We start from the raw sequence: 19,488 nt of genomic DNA, 5'->3' as shown, positions 1-19,488 counted from the left end.
ACACCCTACCACTGAATGGTGCCCTAATTACTGGAAATTATGTTGCAACATAGTGTTGTTTTCTCTTCTAATGCATTTTAAAGCGTTAAGAAAATCAACTTCAAATTTTCTGTTGCTTTCTCTTTGTTTTTTAAAATTTCCGACTTATTTTCAGCCAGTTATTCTTGCTCTGTGTTCACCAACAATAAGGGAGTAGCTGGAACGAGCTAAATATCTCTCAACCCTATGCACAAAAATAGAAAAATTGCCAAACAAGCACAGCTGGCATTTTGGCTTAACGTGAATTAGAAAAACTTTAAAGAAGGGAAAACAAAACCCTCAAGCCTGAAACATTCCATATCCCTTCATTTTACTTTTTCTTATTACAGAAGCAACGTAGAAAATCATGACCTTACCTGTTTTTTTTGTTTTGTTTTGTTTTGATTTGTGTTTTTGAGATGGAGTCTCGCTCTGTTGCCCAGTGTAGTGGCGTGATCTCAACTCACGCAACCTCTGCCTCCTGGGTTCAAGTGATTCTCCTGCCTCAGCCTTCTGGGTAGCTGGGACTAAAGGCATGTGCCACCATGCCTGGCTACCTTATCTGTTTTATCATTAAAATGCAAGCCAGCAAAAGAATACAATAGGAACACCCACAATCCCACTCACCAAGGGGCAGCCACTGGTCTCTGCGGGCAGATTTTGTGGGTAAATTTGCCCACATTCGCTCATTCCATTAATAATTATCACAGAAACTAGAAATATTCATAACTCAGGATATTCATTTTTGACTAGTTAACATTCTGGAGAGATTTTTGTGACCAAATTACCTTTAACTAAATTGTTTTTGGTCAAATTGATTTTAACCAAGTTACCTGGAAACTGCTAAAACCATCTTCCCAGGATTAACTATACAAAGAGTGACTCCTCAGTCAGAGAACCAGGGACACATAAGGGTGTGATTCAGGTGCACTGCTCTCAAAGTGGGGAATGCGATTTATCGGGGTCACACTATCTGTATTTCTACAGAATCTGTGATATTGTGGGCTTGTTTCTGCAGACTAGAAAACTTAGTTTACCTCCAAGGGGACACATGCATTTGTTGCTTCTTTCACTGCCCTAAAGAGGATAGACTTTGGCCACTAGAGAGTGCTTTTTGGAGGGTGATGGGATGGGGTGAGGAGAAAGCACTGTAGCAGTTATACTGTTTCCTTTGAACTCCTGGGCCCAAGAGAGAACTGGAAGGGTTTTCACAATTGTAAAGATCTAATCAATAACTTAGTTATATTTTGAACTTTGTAACTGTGCTGACATTGCTAGTCCCTTACCTACCAGCCATTCCCTTCATCTTTATTTGACCCACATTTGTTCATGGATTGCTCATGGGTTGAGGGAAAGGGATGGCCCTTCTGAGCACAGGAGGTGAAAGTGGATTACACAATGGCCATTGCTGTCATACTTTTTCTCTAACCAGTAATTAGTTTAGTAATTGGTCTGAGACGCCACCTAGGTGATGAGCTGTAAGGGCTTGGGGACCTCTGTAGTGAGATGTGACTCCTGTGACTGTCACCTCCACCAAGCCCCCCTCCCTCACCCTCCACCCTTACTCTTGGAGGAGGATGAAATCTTACACTGAACAAAGCTGAGTGGAAAGACAGCAAACACCAGGACTTCGAGGGCTCAGAATTAGCCTGGTATGTTAAAGGTTGACAGACGTTCTGAGATGCAGAAAACTGGTTTTCTTAGATTTCCTTAAACCTATTTTAATATGGGACCCTTCTATCCAGGTACCTATTAATATAATATTAAACAGGTATTTTTAGATGTCTCTCAAGTGGATTTTTTTGTTTAGCTTTTGTTTTGTTTTTTACATTTATCTAATGTCCTCTTCGTAAATGGCCAGTTGGGGTTGGCAGACAAGGTTCTCAGAACTTCCTTCCTTAGCCTTGGTTCATTTTGCTAAACTTTCTCTTTCTGGCTTAACCCTGAAGGAAATGCCCGAGGATTACTCTGAAGCTTTTTTTTTTTCTTTTTTTTTGAAAAAAAAAAAGAAAAAAAAAAGCCCTCGGTGTCAGCACCTTCTAATTTAGCTATTATCTCTCAAATAAGCACTGAGGTAGATAGTTTTTAATTTTCTATATCTTTCAGGCTAACAAAAGAGAAGCTACATGGCTCCTCCTAAGGTCTGGCTAGGCTTCTCTGAATCCTGGCTGTCTTTGGCTCTCCATGGAGGGAAGTCCCAGAAGTGAGGGAAGCTGTGTGGCTACCTGAGGCTTTGTTGTCCCTTTCACTTACTTACTGGTCCACTGGAATGACTCATCCCTGGAGCATCTCCAGGGAAATTTCAAAGGAACAAAAGGTGTTCTGTGTCTTCCTTTATTCTTTCCTTTTGGGTGGATCAAGAAGCAAGCGATCTCACTCAGAAGAGGACAGGCAGCAGGTGAGCCTTGTGCTGTGAGCCACACAGATGGCTGCATGCAGCCAGGTGTGATTCTATGGGTATCTTACAAAATCCCAAAATTTAGGATACAGAAGGAGGCTGAGGACTAAAGAAGTGAAGTAACTGACAAAGGATAACTCAGCAAATTAGTCACATAGCTGGGCTTGCAACCTGGAACTCCCAATTCCCAGGACAGTGCCCTTTCTAACACAGCATTATAGCCCCAACTCATACTATTTAGGGAAAAGGATAGGGTTAAATGGAAATTTTAAATTTAAACAGCGGCATCAACATCATTTTAAACTAGTTAGAAATAAATATGCTTTTCACCCACCCTCATCCTAGGCCTACTGAGTCAGAAATTCTTGGGGTGGGACCCAGAAATCTATGTTTTACCGAAGCCCTCAAGGTGATTCTGATGTATGCTAAAATTTGTGAACCACCTGTGTAGAAAAAAAAGTCAGGGTTCAAATCCTGGCATCGTCTTAGCCATATGGTTAACTGAGTCTCAGTTTCTTTACCTAAAGCAAACAAACAAACAAACAAACAATCCCCAGTGTGTCGTTGGTTAAGGAACTCTACCATATTTAGAGACAAAATGTTCATTAAGGCCCACAATTACTCAATGTACTTTAGCTACCATGCTTTTACTGGCATCTAGTTAACTCTGCCAATGCTGTCTCTATGTAATTCCTATTCTTCTTTCCTGACATTGTTGGCTTTGAAACCTTTGGAGTTCCCAGTGATTTGAACAGTGCTGGCTGAGAAGAATGAGGAAATGTGCCAAGAGTCTTGCTTTTAGAAGATTTAAAGGGGAAGGTTTCCCACTAAGCCTTCACGTGCCTATCATCCTGTACCACGTGTAAGGCAGTATAACACAATTAACTGCAAAGAGTGCTTATTTTACTTTAATTTCAGAAAGAGGCCAGTTGGTGATACTCAACAGGTTATAAGTAGAGGAAAACATTCATTTCATTAGCATTTATCTAATATGAAAATATCGCTATGACAAAATCCAAACATCAGTGAAAAATGTATTTCAAACAACTCTCATAGAATGAGGAAAGATACAAATGGGGAGGGGACATAGAGGAATGAGGGAGAGAAAAGGGTGGTACCTAGCAAGGAAAAGCAAACAGACACACAAGGAATAATAACTTACATCTTAATTTGTCCATGATCTTCCCTCCACACAATGTGGCTAAAGCCATTTTGACAGCAAATACTGAAATTTTACCATGGCCTTCCCTGTTTAATGGTAATAGAAAAAAAACAAAAACAAAAACAAAACAAAACCATGATGTCATTTGGAGTACTTCCAGCAACAAGGTTTGACATTTTCTATTCTGTAGAAATCACAGGATACATAGCTGCATGCCTTATGTGGGCACATCCATTTTATAAAAGGTTGTGAAAACAATTCAATGCACATATCTGAAGAACTGTCTATTCAATGTTTCCTTAAGAGACATCAGAATCTCTTAGCTTATTCTTTGTATATGTCACTTGCTCAAAATATGGGCTGATAGCCAGAGGAATATCTACTAGCTAACTATGGATTTAAATAACAGAACATGCTTTTCACTTGGAGTTTCATAAAATGATTTTTGCACACAATAATTCCAGAATCTCTATAATTTACTTAAACAGAGCTTCAGAAACATCATTTTTTTTTTTTTTTGTCAGAGAATTTCTGAATTTGAGGTTAGGGTAACTATGGGGACTTTTTCATCACACATTTTTTTCAACCATCATTTCCTACCCACAAGCCAACTGTGCTTATGTGATATATTTACTTTTCAAAGAGAGCTGCTATTTTAAAGGGGCAAAAGTAAAAGCTCTGGCCGAGCACGGTGGCTTACGTCTGTAATCCTAGCACTTTGGGAGGCTGAGGTGGGCAGATCACTGGAGGTCAGGAGTTTGAGACCAGCCTGGCCAACATGGTGATATCCTGTCTCTACTGAAAATACAAAAATTAGCTAGGTGTGGTGGTGCACGTCTGTAATCCCAGCTACTTAGGTGGCTGAGACATAAGAATCGCTTGAACCCGGGAGGTGGAGGTTGCAGTGAGCCAACATTGTGCCACTGCACTCCAGCCTGGGCGACAGAGGGAGACTCTGTCTTAAAAAAAAAGTAAAAGCTCTGTTTGAACACTTTCTTTCTACCCAAATGACACAAGTGCTGCCAAATCCTCATTGATTCAGGAAGTATAACAAATCTGTCCTTCACAAATGTGATATAAAGGGGATATGATAAAAAGTATAATGTTTCAGCTAAATGATTTTCCAGCTGGAATCAACTGTTTATTCTTATACTTTGGAATCAGAAACTGTATCATATTAGTAATTCATTTATTTGATAGTTGCTAATCTTAAGAATGGTCAAAAGAGTTATTTAAAATAATAATGTGTCTGAAAGGTAAGTAAAGCTTGTATTGGCAAAGCTTTAGTACATGGAATAAATAATTTATATGAATAAGATTCATATGCCTTATATATAAGAAAAATAAGATATAAATAATCGTGGTTTTGTTCCTTACTAGGTTTCAGAGAGGGATCATTTGTTATTTATCACTGTCGCTGTCATTTTTAGTGTAATACCTCAAATACAACCAGCCAGAATGCAAAATTGACTGAACCCTATGCTAGTGACTCTTTCATATTTATTTCTAAGCCTCAGCACCAGATTTATGTAATCATTTATCTGAAACCTTCACTTAGATACCTCATGCCAAACTAAGTATGTTCAAAAGAGAACTCATTATCTTTACAGAGCTCTTCCATAATACTCAGACTCACCGTAGTACTAACCTGCTGTTCCTCCTGCAGTCCTTCTGCTGGTTATTAGAAACACCATGTACCTAGTTACCTGAAAATGAATCCTGAGTTGGGGTCGCCTTTGATTTCTTGCTCTTCCTTAATTACTACCACTCCGAACAAATGTTTGAAGGACTCAGCTAGACTTGTTACCTGTATGTTGAATCCATTCCCTTCTTTTCATTCCCACTGTCACTGCTTCCATCAGCTCTTGCTTTAACACGGTCATAACCTCTGAAATGATCTCTCTGCTTGCACACTCATATCACAAATTTGACCATATTATTTCATTGCTTAAAACCCTCTGGCCGCCTTTTGCCCTCAGGACGAAGTTCTAACGTTTGCTCATGGCACACCCAGCAGTCTCGTCTAGTCTCCTCTGCTACCATTTCTGTTGTTGTACTGCACACCATGGTCAAACTGTTCAACGCCTCCTGGCCCCTCCCCCTCCTAACATGGTCTGCCCACAACCCTCCCATCCATTTGTCAAGATGCCACTCAATATCATTATTCACCCTGCTCTGAAAACAGCTTTTCTCCTAGATGTCTAGGAAATCACTCTGCCCTTCACTTTTTACTTATTATGTGGCATCTGTCACAATGAATGACCTTGATGTGATTTTTACATGTCCACAATGTGACTGGATTCTACATTGTGAGATCCTTCAGTGCAGAGATGATGTTTTCTGAATTACTTGAATTCCTAGTGCCTAGCACTTGGTCTCACACAGAGTTAGTGACTAATACATTTCTTATATTAAGAAATGATTAGTAATCATTATAAAAATTACACCTAGAATTTTGAGTGTCCATCCACTCAGTGAGTTATTAATTTTAGAGCAGGTAGCTGTAATAGAAATGCAATGATTTTGTAAAAACCAGCCTATTCAAAAGCATTCCTGTCCTCCCATTACATGGATAACTGGAAGTATCAAACATTTGACCTCAGGAGGTAATTAGCTTTTTTCCTAAACTGTAACATGGTTCAAATAATGACAACAGTAAAGTCTACAAGGTATGGAAGATTAGCAATCACATAGCAATAATGTGGCCCTCAAAATGCAAAGAAATCGAGGAGCATTATATGTGAGGCTTCAAGAGCAATACAGTTCCTTTCAATGAATCCGAGAGAATAATTTATTTAAAAGGAGAGGATTGACCACCAATGATTTTGGAACAGAGAGTTCTCCAAAGGATGAAACAATGATAGCTCATAGGTGTACTCTTAGACCTCAGCTTTTAATGAAGAAGATCATGGGGAGATTGCCAGTCCTGTATTGTTCCTGGAAATGGAAGATTGATGATACTAGATCCAACAGTGGTTATATCAGAGCTGTTCTGCCAAATTGACACAATAAATCTAGATAAATCACCAAGTGGAGGGCAGCCGAATGAGGGTTTTACAGGAACTCAAGGGTGAAATTAGGCCACTGGAATCTATTGTTATGCAAGCTACTGTGCCAGATTGCAAATGTGACTCTGTCATGAAGAAGGATTCTGGGGGTATGCAGGGATTTAGGTCGTGGCAAGCACACCAAAACTGGGTGAGTTCATACTTTGCTTATCCCAGGCACTGGATAAATATTTATGCGGTTTGAGGAGTGAGCAGAGATGACTGACTCTACAACAGAGAATGGGAGCACTAAAGACTTAAATACAAATGGATCTTTTTTAAAAGAACATTATTTGTAAATATAACAGGGTGAAGAGGAGGGTGTCCAATTTTAAAGAGGGGGCCTTTAAAAAATATCAGCTTTTTTTGAAGAGTAAATATATCACATAAGCACAGTTGTATTGTGAGTAGGAAATAATGGTTGAAAAAAATTTGTGATGAAAAAGTCCCTATAGTTACCCTAATTTCAAATTCAGGAATTCTCTAACAAAAAAATTATGTTTCTGAAGATTTGTTTAAATAAATTATAGAGACTGTGAGATTATTCTGCACAAAATTATTTTATGAAACCCAAAGTGAAAAGCGTCTTCTGTTGGCTAGTTAGCCAACCACAGTTAGGTAGCATATATTCCTCTGGTTATCAGCCCATATTTTGAGCAAAACATGGGACCAGGGTCCCTATTTCATTGTGAAAAAAGGCACTGGCATTAACACAGGAAGCAAGGAGTAGAGAAAAGCTGATACATCCCAAATGGAAAAATTTAGGAGCTATGCTCATCAGGAATTGTCATTAGTTGGGACCAGTTTGATTTACAAACAGCCAATAAAATCTGTTAAGTGTCTAGGAAGCAGAAAGACAAGTGCATGAGGATGGATAATGGGAAGCTCCTCAGAGTCCTGTACAAACGAGCAGGAAAGCAGCATATTGCTCCAAAATGACTATGTCTCTGGCAATGCCTTTGCAGTAAGGTAGTAAAACTGCACCGATGGAATGCTGGCTGTCAGCTGCAACCCAGGAAGCCAACCACCAGTGTGTGCTGAGGTTGAAAAACATAGATTTTCCCTAAAACTTCAGGCCAAACAGCCTGGGAGTGGGGCAGCATCAGGAAGTGCACAGAAAAAGTCTGTATACTTCTCTTGCTTTTATGAAAAGCCATGGCAGTATGCCTTCAACTTCATGTGCAATTCTGACTGCCATCTCAAGACATAAAAGAGCCAGATGTGTTTGAGAGACTGGATGCATCACAGGGCACAAGTCTGGATGAATCACAGACTTTTAGGGGCGGGATCAGCCTTAGGAGTCTGTGATGTGGTCAATCACATGGCCATGTAAGTCTTTCTTTGTGAATTAAGGCTGCTAGTACAGTTAATTCTTTGGTAATATAAAAGGCACAGAAAAAGCTTAAAGAATTAATATTAGTATATCATTTTATTATTAAAATAGTAATTGGCCAGGGGTGATGGCTCACGCCTGTAATTCCAGCACTTTGGGAGACTGAGGTGGGCAGAACAAGAGGCCAGGTGATCAAGACCATCCTGGCCAACATGGTGAAAACCCGTCTCTACTAAAATACAAAAAATTAGCCGGGCATGGTGGTGTGCACCTGTAGTCCCAGCTACTTCGGAGGCTGAGGCAGGGGAATTGCTTGAACCCAGGAGGCGGAGATTGCAGTGAGCCAAGATCGCGCCACTGCACTCCAGCCTGTTGACAGAGCGAGACTCCATCTCAAAAAAAAAAAAAAAAGTTATTTTATTTTTAAAATAAAATAATAGTATTTTGTTTGTAATGTTTTCCATTTCAATGCAGAGAGAAAACAGCGCATAATACATACTTTATTCATTTTCTCCATTATAGTCTTTTGGCATAGTGGAATATGTTCTGTTTCTAAGCCAATTACCCTGGAACTTTTGCCTATACAAACTTTACTTTCTTGTTCTAGATCGACATTCAAAAATTCTCAATAAAATTGTGTATTGGTATATAATTAACATGTAACAAGGTATTTAAGAGAACCAGGCTAATATATGCAAATTATCAAAAGCACAAACTGAAATGGCTTCATAAATCAATGTTTCTTGAAATCTTTTATCTTCCTTTACATTTTGTTTTCTCACTCTGAGACTTTTCAAGTTATTCTAGGGGACAACTGATTGAAAATGGAAAGAGGAAGGCACTTACCCTTTGGTTAAAATATATATAGTGATTTGTAGGGTGTTTTATGTTAAAAATTTGAATTACTTCAAAATTTGACTTGTCATAATAAAGAAGTGAGAAACTGCTTTAGTCTGCCCTGGGTTTCCCATAATCTTATAAAGAGACATACTGATTTCTTCCAACTAAGAATATATTATTTATATGGAAAAGTTGCAGGGAAGAGAATATTTGTTTTTGACAAGAAGATAAAACAACAAATAGATATTGATCGGTAGGGCTGGATGCTAAGTACAGGAGGTAAATTGTCTCCGAATTGCCAACAGGGTTTCCTGTTTGAAGTTACAAAATCCCATGAGAAACTTGAAGTTCTTTTAAGTAAGATTCAATTCTGACTGATTCTTTCTTAAACAGACAGAAGGAATTATTTCTCTATTTAAGAGTACTAAAATCAGAAGCTCTTCTTTTACCAACATATTTCACAAAAACATTTGGTAAGCATTTTTGATAAGCAGAGGCACAGCACTCAAACTGCTCTTTCTCACACATTTTGGTGGCTTAATTAACGGAGAGAATTGCTTCCTCCCTCTGCTTCCACAACATGCCTCTACTATAACACATTTTTTATCTGAAAATTATTTTGCTCATATGGATCACTCATTTAGTCACTCAATAAATATTGATTAGCATTGTCCTAGAGGTTGGGGATATACAGATGAAAAAGGTGTGGTCTCTACTCTTCATTTGCTCACAACATGTTGGAGATAAAGGGTCAGAAACAGTTAATTTTAATACAACCCATTTTCCAAGGGTATCTCATCTCATTTCATCTTGTCTTATCATTTATTCCCAGCCTATCATAACACCTACCACATAGCAAGCTCTTTACATATGTCAGTTCAATTAATGAATGCACAAGTGAGAAGCAACTTTCTGATTTACCACTTGAGATTTATATTGAGAAATATAACGTGTTTGAATACGATGATAATGATTGGCTTTATGGCTGTTTCTTTTAGATTGTGCAGTTATGTGATGCTTTGAATTTAGAAGTGTTCACAGGCATAATTAACTCTGGTTTGGGGCGTAGTGAAGTTAACCTGTGAACAGACAGAAACCCTTTATTTGGATCTGGCTTCTCTCTGGGCCCTCCACAATGTTAGCAAAACATCTGGGAAAAGTACTCCTTATAGCGCCGGGGCAGGTGAGTTTGCTAGGGGTTTCTCCAGAACAGAAGGGGTCAATACTGTTGGAATGCCCCCATACCCCTTGAAATTCCTCATCTCTCTTGAAATTCTACCTGCTACTCATTCAAAGTATGTCAGATAAACAACGAGTGACATTAGGATATTTAATGTATCTACAGCTGTGAAAATTCTTTGGAAAGTGATTCCATTTTAGCAGGATGTAGAAATTTTGAACAAAGTATTTTTCACTACAACAAGATTTTAGTTAGTAGAGGAGAATGTTCTATGGACATCTTGAAATTTAAGACGTGCAAAGAAAAAAGTCACCACGCCAAGTAAACACTGTTTTAAATATCTAGTCTTGGCTGTATAGATAATAAAAGAGAAGAACATTTGGTTTTTTATAACTCTTCTCTTTTTTTCTTCTTTGCTTTCACAAATCTACATAGTCTCAAACATGAACAATACTTTTTTTGGTGCAGAGAAATGGTTGTGTACTTTGTAGTACATTTTGCATTAAATATCGAATCATTTTTTAAATTCGAAAGACAGAAGGATTTTGGCAGAGTACCAGGCATTTCATATCCATGCATTTGAAATAGTTCTGTGGTCTTTTTTGTAGCATTGGAAGGCTCAGCAGTGGGCATGGGTGTTCAAATGGCCCAGTAAGGTGCAATATGGCAAACAGGGAGGAAAATACCAGGATTTTGTATTCTCTACGTAAGACTATTATGTGATGGACTTGTAGTTCTGGGTAGCTGTCATAAAACTGATCCTAATGCTACAATGTAAAACATGTTAAGTCCAAATATTTCTTCCACATACACTCTTTCAAATGTGTATAAATACCAGAAACTGGAAAGATTAGGAATGTAAGCATCAGAATAATATCCTGTAATAAGCAAAACAAGTCTGGGAGAAAAAAGGTTAATTAATTTTCATTTTAAAAAGTGAAACAGAAAGCATGAATAGAGCTGAGCTTAAAACAGTTCCTGAAACAAAATGAGTTTTCCCTCATTTACCTCATTTAGTATGATGCTGTATGACCTGCAAATTATTTAACCTCTTTCTATCTCCTCTACTGGAAAATCATGATAATATAGGGCCAAGTCAGTAAGACTATTGACATATAGTAAATACTGAGTACATCTTATTTTTAATACAATTATTATGATTATCATGGAAGACTATAGCTTGACCTCTGAAAATAGGAAAATCACTGTTCCTTTTAATATTTTTAACTGTCATACTATGATTTTTGAGTGACTGAGTATATATGATAATGTTATTTGCTAAAAACAAGGCTAGAGTCACATAATCTACTTTATGAAGAACTGTCTTACGAAAGAAGATACTACTGAATTGAAATGAGATTGAGTCAAGACAACTTGTTTTTAGTGTTTCCTGGGGAAGCAGGGAGAAGGTGAGAGGAGTACATAGAAGTCTTTTGTAAAAATAGGATCACCAACATTGGTAACCATGAACACTTGTTTTTTTTTTCTGTGGAGCAGAAGTAAAAATAGAGGGTCTGAATCTAGGTGACTGGGACCCGCTAGTCTTTGTAATATATTGGAGATCAAGGAAGACTTAATCTCAGAAAAAGAATTAAAAGAAAACTGGCCAGACATGGTGGCTCATGCCTGTAAATCCCAGTACTTTGAGAGGCTGAGGCAGGTGGATTGCTTGAGCCCAGGAGTTCAAGACCAGCCTGAGCAATATGGTGAATCCCTATCTCTACTAAAAACACAATTACTAGCCAGGTGTGGTGGTGCACGCCTGTAGTCCCAGCTACTCGGGAGGCTGAGGCACAAGAATTGCTCTAGGCCAGGAGGCGAAGGCTGCAGTGAGCTAAGATTGTGCCACTGCACTCCAGCCTGGGCGGCAGAGTGAGACTCGGTCTTAAAAAAAAATAGTTAAAAGAAATTAGTACGACAAGAGCTCAGAAAGATCAACCTTGGATTTTCATTCATTGATTCATTCTTGTGTTGGCTATGGTCTCAGGTGCTGTTCATAAGAAGAATAAAATATGGTTCTTTCCTAAAGAAGTCTTTGGGAGGCAGTCATATAAACAGTCAGACATGCACTATAAGACAATAGCAGAATCAGGTGCAAGGAGAGGTGGACCTGTGGAAAGGTGATCAACTTGACCATGACAGGCGAAAGGCTTCACAGAACCTCAGAGTTTGTGACTGCACCTCTCAAAAAGGCTGCACATTATAGGCTTTTAAGAATTATTTTCATCTTTTAACTTTCTGCAATATTTTTCTTTTGAGTTACTCTCTATTTCCTACAAAATAATAAGAACAACATTAAAGGTCCTTTGAAGACTTCAAAGAGTTTTCCCCCTCCTCAATAGAATATGGACAAGAGGTGACAGAAGAAGCTGCTGCCAGTTTGCTGGGGGGATTCTGGAGGAGACAGAGGAGCGGAAGGCTCCTGGCAGCAAAGAAGGGGAGGTGGGAGGCCAGTTCCTGGGGTGATCGGAGGAAAGGGACAAGAGGAAGAGACTGGCTCAAGTTCTGGCTGCTCCCTCACATATCTTCTTCCCTCTCAGCCCCTGGTCTTATTTCTGACATCTCTTTTCCCATCCTTCTCAGGCACACTCATCCATTCCACTAGACGCCTTAAAAAAGATAACCTCTGGCCGTGGAGAGATTTGCTTAGAAGTTGGTTGGTAACTGCTCCCTGGGTGACCCCCTCCCAGGAATACAGCCATTTTTAAAAGGAATGTCACAAAAAACAAAAATCTTCTGGACTCAAGGAACTGTGTCTTCAGGGACAGAATGGCAAGCATGAGCATAAACCACTGGGGTCCACTGCCCACCCCCAACATTGTACAAATCATCTACAGATGTAGTTATCATATCTTCTGAGAGGCTGACTTGCCAACGAGCAGAGAGAAATCTTGCAACCAGGAAACTGATTACAGTCTGCAGTAAGCATCCTGGTATGAAAATTGAGATCCGGATGTTTTTTTGGTGGGAGAGGGAATGCTATTCTTGGGGAGCTATGGCTGTGCGAAGGTAAGTCTGGCTCTCAGAAGTACATCCCAGTAAAGGAGGCATCAATCCTCATCTCAGGTTACCACTTTCTTCACGAAGTTCAACTACCTGGGAGTCTAGTGAATTTTAAGGCACCATCCCCTCCCCCACAAAATGGCCAAGTTTCTTTGAATCCAAGTTCTTATTCTTCATGAGTTTAAATCACTATACTGCCTTTCTTTTTTATTTATTTATTTTTAGCAACTCTTCTTCAGAGTCTAGGTTCTTAAGGCATCTCTAATTTTTATTTTGGATTTTTTCCCTGTTTATTTATATGTCCATTTAAAATACGACAAATGGGAGAAAAATCTCCTAAATGTTTCAGTGATTCTGTAATAGCAACAGCACATCTTTCTTTTAGTAGTATCAGGATCATTCATGTCTGCCAAAATACAGACGGTTCTCTTAAACACTTGGACTCTGTCGTGGGACAGGTGGTAGGAAGTGGCATCAGATTTCCACGCTGGGTCTCATTTGGATAAATTGGAGTTTACTATTATAAGAAATAGAATTTGAACATTTATTTTATTCTTAAGTTTCTCTTCTTATATTCACTTCTAAATTACATATCCAGTTAGCTGTACTTCCTGATGGCTTACATTTCATATCCAAAATTCCATGCCATCAGATGGAAAATTTGAGTGTCAGTAGGACTGCCTATGCTCATTTGCTACGCTGAAGGAGCAAACGCAGAAGTGTCTGCAGAGTAGGATCTCTACATGGATATGTTTATAAATCTTTGCAGTGAAATTTGTCTATGTGGATGTGTTTATAAATCTACTACAGTGAGATTATTGAAAGTACACATCAGGAGGCTTCCTATCTATACGAAGAATAGGCACCAAATAAAGATTTCTTCTGAACTTTTTTGTGAATTGTTCCTTACCTTGGAATAGATGTCAAACTTAGCTTTTCATCAATCTTGAAATGATTCAGCTATATTTTCAGCAGCTATTTAGAGACCGTTCATAGCTCTATATTTAGAAGTGATCTAGCAAATATTTCTGACCAAAAGTGAAAAATCTAACTATATTTGTGTGAATCCTATATATCTCACAAAATACCCCCTTCCTTATTGTTAGTCTGGTTTCTGGTCTATATTTATGGAGTGGGTGCAAATGATTATTTGGCTTTGATTCTTTATGAGTTCTCTAGCAGTACTCCAGGATTTAGTGAGATATTATATTTCTCTTTTTGCAGTTTCCATTGTTACATTTCTAACAAATAAGTCTCTTGACATCTTTAGGGGCAAATCTGAAAGCTGCCACACTCTTGTCACAGGGCCAGGTTAGAAATGCCACTACAGAAATGCCATGGCCAGGTTCCATTCTGCTGCCTCTGCTGCCTGTCATGTGGAACCACAGTCCTCTTTACCTGCCCCAGCATCCAGTTACTATAGTGATTAAGCTAGAGCTGTACATCTCGTTCTGAAGTGTGCACAGCCGAAGCAAAGACTCTACCAACCTGGAATGCTAGTTGTAAAATTGTTTATTTTAACTGAAGAATTTCTCAAAATATAAATATCACGAAGACAATAATGCACACTGGAAAAACTGAGCAGGAACGATTCTGTTAACACTCTAAGTTGCAAAGTGACAGCTGGTAGCTTTTGTGAATTGCAAAATAACATTAGCCTGGCTGGAACATCTCCACTGCGGGGGTAAATACTTCCAGGCATTGGCCAGACAATGAGACTAAGTAAAACCTTCTGAGAATCTCAAAATGTGATTGCTGAAAGGTCAGGTTAGCAATTTTCCTTTTTAATATTCAAAACAAGCAGTGGAAGTGGAGGGGGTGGTACTACGTCCAGGTTGGAGGCTATTGGCAAAAAGCCCTCTTGAAATTGTAGGCTGAGAATGTAATTCAGGGGAATCCACATATACCTTGGTAAAGAAACCTTTGTTGAACACCTAAGTCCCCACTCGGCCACTAACATGCTGCGAGACACCAAACAAGTGACAATTTCTTTGTGCTTCATTTCCTTCATCTGTAAAATGAGATATGTGGACGAACAGCCTTTAAGATCTCAGCCAGCCCTGAAATTCTCTGATTCTAAAAGGGAAAATTATACAAAAATGAAGCTGAGCTTCAGTTGTGGTCTGTGGACAGCATCCCCTTATTTTATGATCGAAACACTTAAATTGACCAGTCCATTTAACGCAAGTCATAGTTACTTTGACTGGGATAGTCAAGAAACCCTTTTCAATTTCTTTCTTGTTTGCTGTAGGGCCTTGTTAGGACACCTCAGAAACACTGTCTTAAACAATTTGCAAAGAAGAGAGTTAAAAAGATCCTCCCACTTCACGCTTCATTAAATCGCACCACAGGCAATCCTCTCAAGCATCCACAGCTTCCAGGAAGCATGGGATGAGATAACTAAAGGTCAGCACATAAAATACAATTGTCCTCAAGTTCCTCTGGCACCATTTTACTCTCTAGTCTTTTTCACAGGATTTAAAATTTATATTAAACACATGGAGACTTTACTGACATAAGCATCCACTGTAAGAAAAAAGAGAGTAAAAAAAAAAAGAGAGAGATATAAAATTGTTTGGGAAAAAGACCAAGTAAGACAGGAAGTGAAAGCCAAACATGTAGAGAGGAACAGACATTCAGAGGGTGCTTACGGATCAAACGCTGCAAGCAGGAAGTTAAGGAGGAGGCTGATGGACTGCTCCACATGGATTTGGTGAGTGGTTGGCATCCGTTTGTTGAGCTGGTAAAAAATAGTGGAGAGCACAGCCTCTAAGCGGGACACGTTGAGTTCAGTGTTTGGGTCCAGGTTGTTCAGAGCATTTTCCCGCAATGCTTCTATGACATTCCATATGTCCACCAGGTGCACTACAATTAAAGCAGAGTTAACACATCAGCCCAAAGTAATGGAAGGCAAATACATCAGTTTACATGACCCTCTGTCCTGTTTTTTTCTAGGTATCTCACATGTGTGCAGCTGTTGCAGGGGGTCAACATAAGTAAATGAACATAGGCTGTGCATTATCTCTAAGACTTGATGTGCATTACATAATAGCAAGCAAATGATTTACTGACCACCACAATAGATAGTTATTTCCAATCTTCACAATCACTCTTGAAATACAGCTATTATCCCTGTGTTACACATAAGATAACTGAGGATCTGGAAACTGAACTGACAAATGCAAAAGTAGAAGAGGAGTCAATGGCAAGACTAGCATTCAGATCCAAGTCTATCGGTTTAAAAGTTATTTCCCCATTGCACACCCTGCCCCCTCAAAAAGAAAAGGCCAACATTTAAATTCTAGTGTTTGAAAGGATGTCCAAATTATATTTGAGTATTTAAAATGTTTTCATTTATTTATGTGTTTTTTAGTAGTATGCTGTTGGAAACAAGAAAAAAAAAGAAAGTTAAGGTAGGCAGGAAGACAAGGTAAAAAGGAAAAGTTATGTATACACTGCAGCAGCAGCAGAACTAAGTCACACATCACTGAACTAGGCTGGTCAAGAACAAGAAGTTTCTTGGCTACATTATTACCAGCTGATTTAAGTCATGGTTACTTTCACTAGGGTAGTCAAGAAAGCTGTTTCTGTTTTCTTCCCTATTTGCCCTGAGGTCTTGTTATGAGATCCCAGAAACCATGATCACGACCAAGATAAAGAACACGTCCTCACCCTCAAAAGTTTTCTCATGCTCCTCTGCAATCCATCCTCATTCCCTGTTCCAGGCAACTATTGATTTGCTTTCTGTTGCAAACTTCAGTTCTTAATAACTGTAAGTATATGGTAAACACTCTTTTTTGGGTCTGGATTCTTTTACTTAGTGTTAACTGTTTTGAAATTCATACATGTATTGCTGAAAGTATCAATAGTTTTCTCTTTTTTATTGCTGAGTAGTATTCCATTATATGGATATATCACAATTTGGTTATCAACTCACTTGTTGATGAACATTTGGGTTGTTTTTCAGTTTTTGTTTATGAATAAAATTGCTATGAACAATCACGTACAAGTCTTTGTATAGATATGTGGCTTCCATTTCTCTTAGACAATGAGGGATTCAAAATATTAAAATCATTAAAAATATTAAGTAAATACTTAGAAATGAAAAGGCTGGGTTTCACAGTAAGTGTATGTTTAATTTTTAAAGAAAGTTCCAAAGTATTTTCCAAAAGTAGTTGAACCATCTTACATTCCCATCAGCAGTGTACGAGAGTTCCAGTTCCTCCACATCTTCACCATTTAAGGTTGACTTTTCATTATGCTTTTGCATTTGCAAATAAATATTTTGTTTATTCTCAATGAAATATAACAGTTTCCGTTTTTGAGAAATATGCACTGTATATATATTTTTTCACTAACAGCTCCCTATTTTTTTGTCTTCTACCTCATTGCTCTCTCCTGGCTATATACCTAATAAGCAAAACTAACATCAGCTTCTACTATGAATTGAGCTATGTGACTTTTTTCTTGACTTCTCTCTTACTTTTGCTTTTCAGAACAGATCTATGGTTTCTGACTTTTGGTATAGGAGAACTTGTCACCAATTTCTTCCATTATAATAACAAATGAGCCAACTAGCCAACAGTCTTTTGAAGTCAGACCCTTTTCCCAGGCTAGGTTTAACTGCAGGATCTGTAACCACAGAACCCTAAGAGAGAGAGAGCAATCTGTTCAGACATTCTTATTTTCAAATTAGGCATAAAGAAAAACAAAAACCTAAAGTATGGTTCTCATAACTAACTTTGTGTGCACATTGAGATCCAAGAGATGAGTAGATTATGCAAATCCTTAAACTAAAAAAAAAAAAACAACAGGTTACATAGAACCGTTACTGTGTCCTTTACTTGGATTTTTGCTGTTAATTTTAACAATTACTCAAAATAATGTTTTATGTTATGAAGGGAAGATACCTGTGCTCAAGGAGCACTGGACTTGGAGTCCAAAGACCTAGGTTGCAAATCTGGCTCTTCTACGACAAGTGCATGACCTCTAAGACTTAGAGTCTCACTTCCTTCATCTATGAAATGGGGCTGGCATTCCTAAAATGGAAAAATGCATAGAGTAAAAAGTGGTAGTTCCTGGTACCTAGCAGACAATGCATTATAGATGAACAAGTAAATAATGTGAGTCATGTCAAAAGAAAAATATATTGCAATATATCTCTGATTTGGAGCAGATGAGTACAAATCACATACCAACTAAAATAAATATTTATTAGTTTTGGAAAAATTCAGATTTAAGTGATTTCAAATTTGCAAGCTTTTCTGTATATCAAGAATTAATCAACAAGGAAATTATTTGTATTTCTTGGTGTTATTTATCCAACTCTTCTATCTAGCAAGCAAAACACTCCCAGGGAAATGGCATTTATAAACTAAATTTATTTATTTATTTAAATTCTAGTTGGGAAGAGCTGGGATTCCTCTAATTACTCCCTATAGATTTGATCTGTGAATCTTCTGGATCTAGTCATCAGGATGTGTCTGGGTGCAGGATGCAAAGAAAGCAGTGCTGATGACATCCAGCCTGTCGTCCTGCTTGGTCCCTGTGACCTATCCTCACCTAGTTCCTGGTTGTGGATGATGTGGAACAGACATCTGGGGAGAGGAGCATGGACTGGGAACTTGAGCATGGGAGGGAGATGGGTATATGTCAAGAAAGCTAAATGGCTGTTGGCAAAGGGAGGGAATCTGGATGCTTAAATTTCTCTTGACGAGCCATTGTAAGGAATAGGAAACCCTTTTAGAATTCCCAGTGGTGGAATTATCCAGGCCCATGGGAGTGACCACAGGAGTGGCCCACATAAGGGTTCCCACATAGGCATGCCCATGTAAGGGTTCTTTGGGTACTTCAGCCTCAGGGTGAGCAGCCCATACTCATCTCTCCCCTTGCCGGCTCTGGGATTCCCTTCCTTGGTGAATGCCACCATCCTCCCGCTGCCTATTCTCCCTCCAGGGAGATTTACTTTCTGGGTTCTATCAATGACCTAGTCCTATGGACTGTATATCTCCTAAACATCACTGTAATCCCACCATTTCCATGAACCTTTATTGCCACCACCCAATTTCGTTACCCAATGCTATCACGCTTACTGTTTGGCTGAGTCAGTTCTTTTTTCATTCTTTCTGTACTCCCTTTCTACTCACTGCAGCCAGAGTGTGATTTCTAAACCGTAATTTGACATATCACTTGTATGCTGCTTAAAATTGTATGCTGCTTGGAGAATGGCGTGAAGCCGGGAGGCGGAGCTTGCAGTGAGCCAAGATTGCGCCACTGCACTCCAACCTGGGCAACAGAGCGAGACTCCGTCTCAAAAAAAAAAAAAAAAAAAAAATATATATATATATATATAGTATGCTGCTTAAAGTCCTTTAATAACTTCCCATTAATTTGAAATCTAAACAAGGATTGAAGTTTTTTTTCTTTCTTTTCTTTTTTCATCTAGCCCCTGTGTACTTCTCATCTACATCTCATCTACTATACCTTGGCGTCAACATTACTTCCTCA

The 19,488-nt window shown here is 38.6% G+C and overlaps 1 protein-coding gene across 65 annotated transcripts in view; it reads right to left on the bottom strand.

Moving 5' to 3' along the window:
- The window catches only part of DTNA (dystrobrevin alpha), a 398,533-nt gene that overhangs the window by 81,962 nt on the left and 297,083 nt on the right, over positions 1 to 19,488 (bottom strand). For all 65 annotated transcript variants that reach the window (XM_047437323.1, XM_047437332.1, XM_047437326.1 and 62 more), the window contains 2 exons: positions 15,633 to 15,846; positions 3,579 to 3,664 (listed from right to left, as the gene is read on the bottom strand). In XM_047437323.1, coding sequence (XP_047293279.1) covers positions 3,579 to 3,664; positions 15,633 to 15,846 — 300 coding nt within the window. The remainder of the gene's footprint in view (positions 1 to 3,578; positions 3,665 to 15,632; positions 15,847 to 19,488) is intronic.

The sequence above is a fragment of the Homo sapiens genome, chromosome 18, assembly GCF_000001405.40.
Source record: "Homo sapiens chromosome 18, GRCh38.p14 Primary Assembly".
Taxonomy (NCBI): domain Eukaryota; kingdom Metazoa; phylum Chordata; class Mammalia; order Primates; family Hominidae; genus Homo; species Homo sapiens.
Note: the sequence above shows the minus strand (reverse complement) of the source record. Positions and strands in the feature narration are given on the sequence as shown.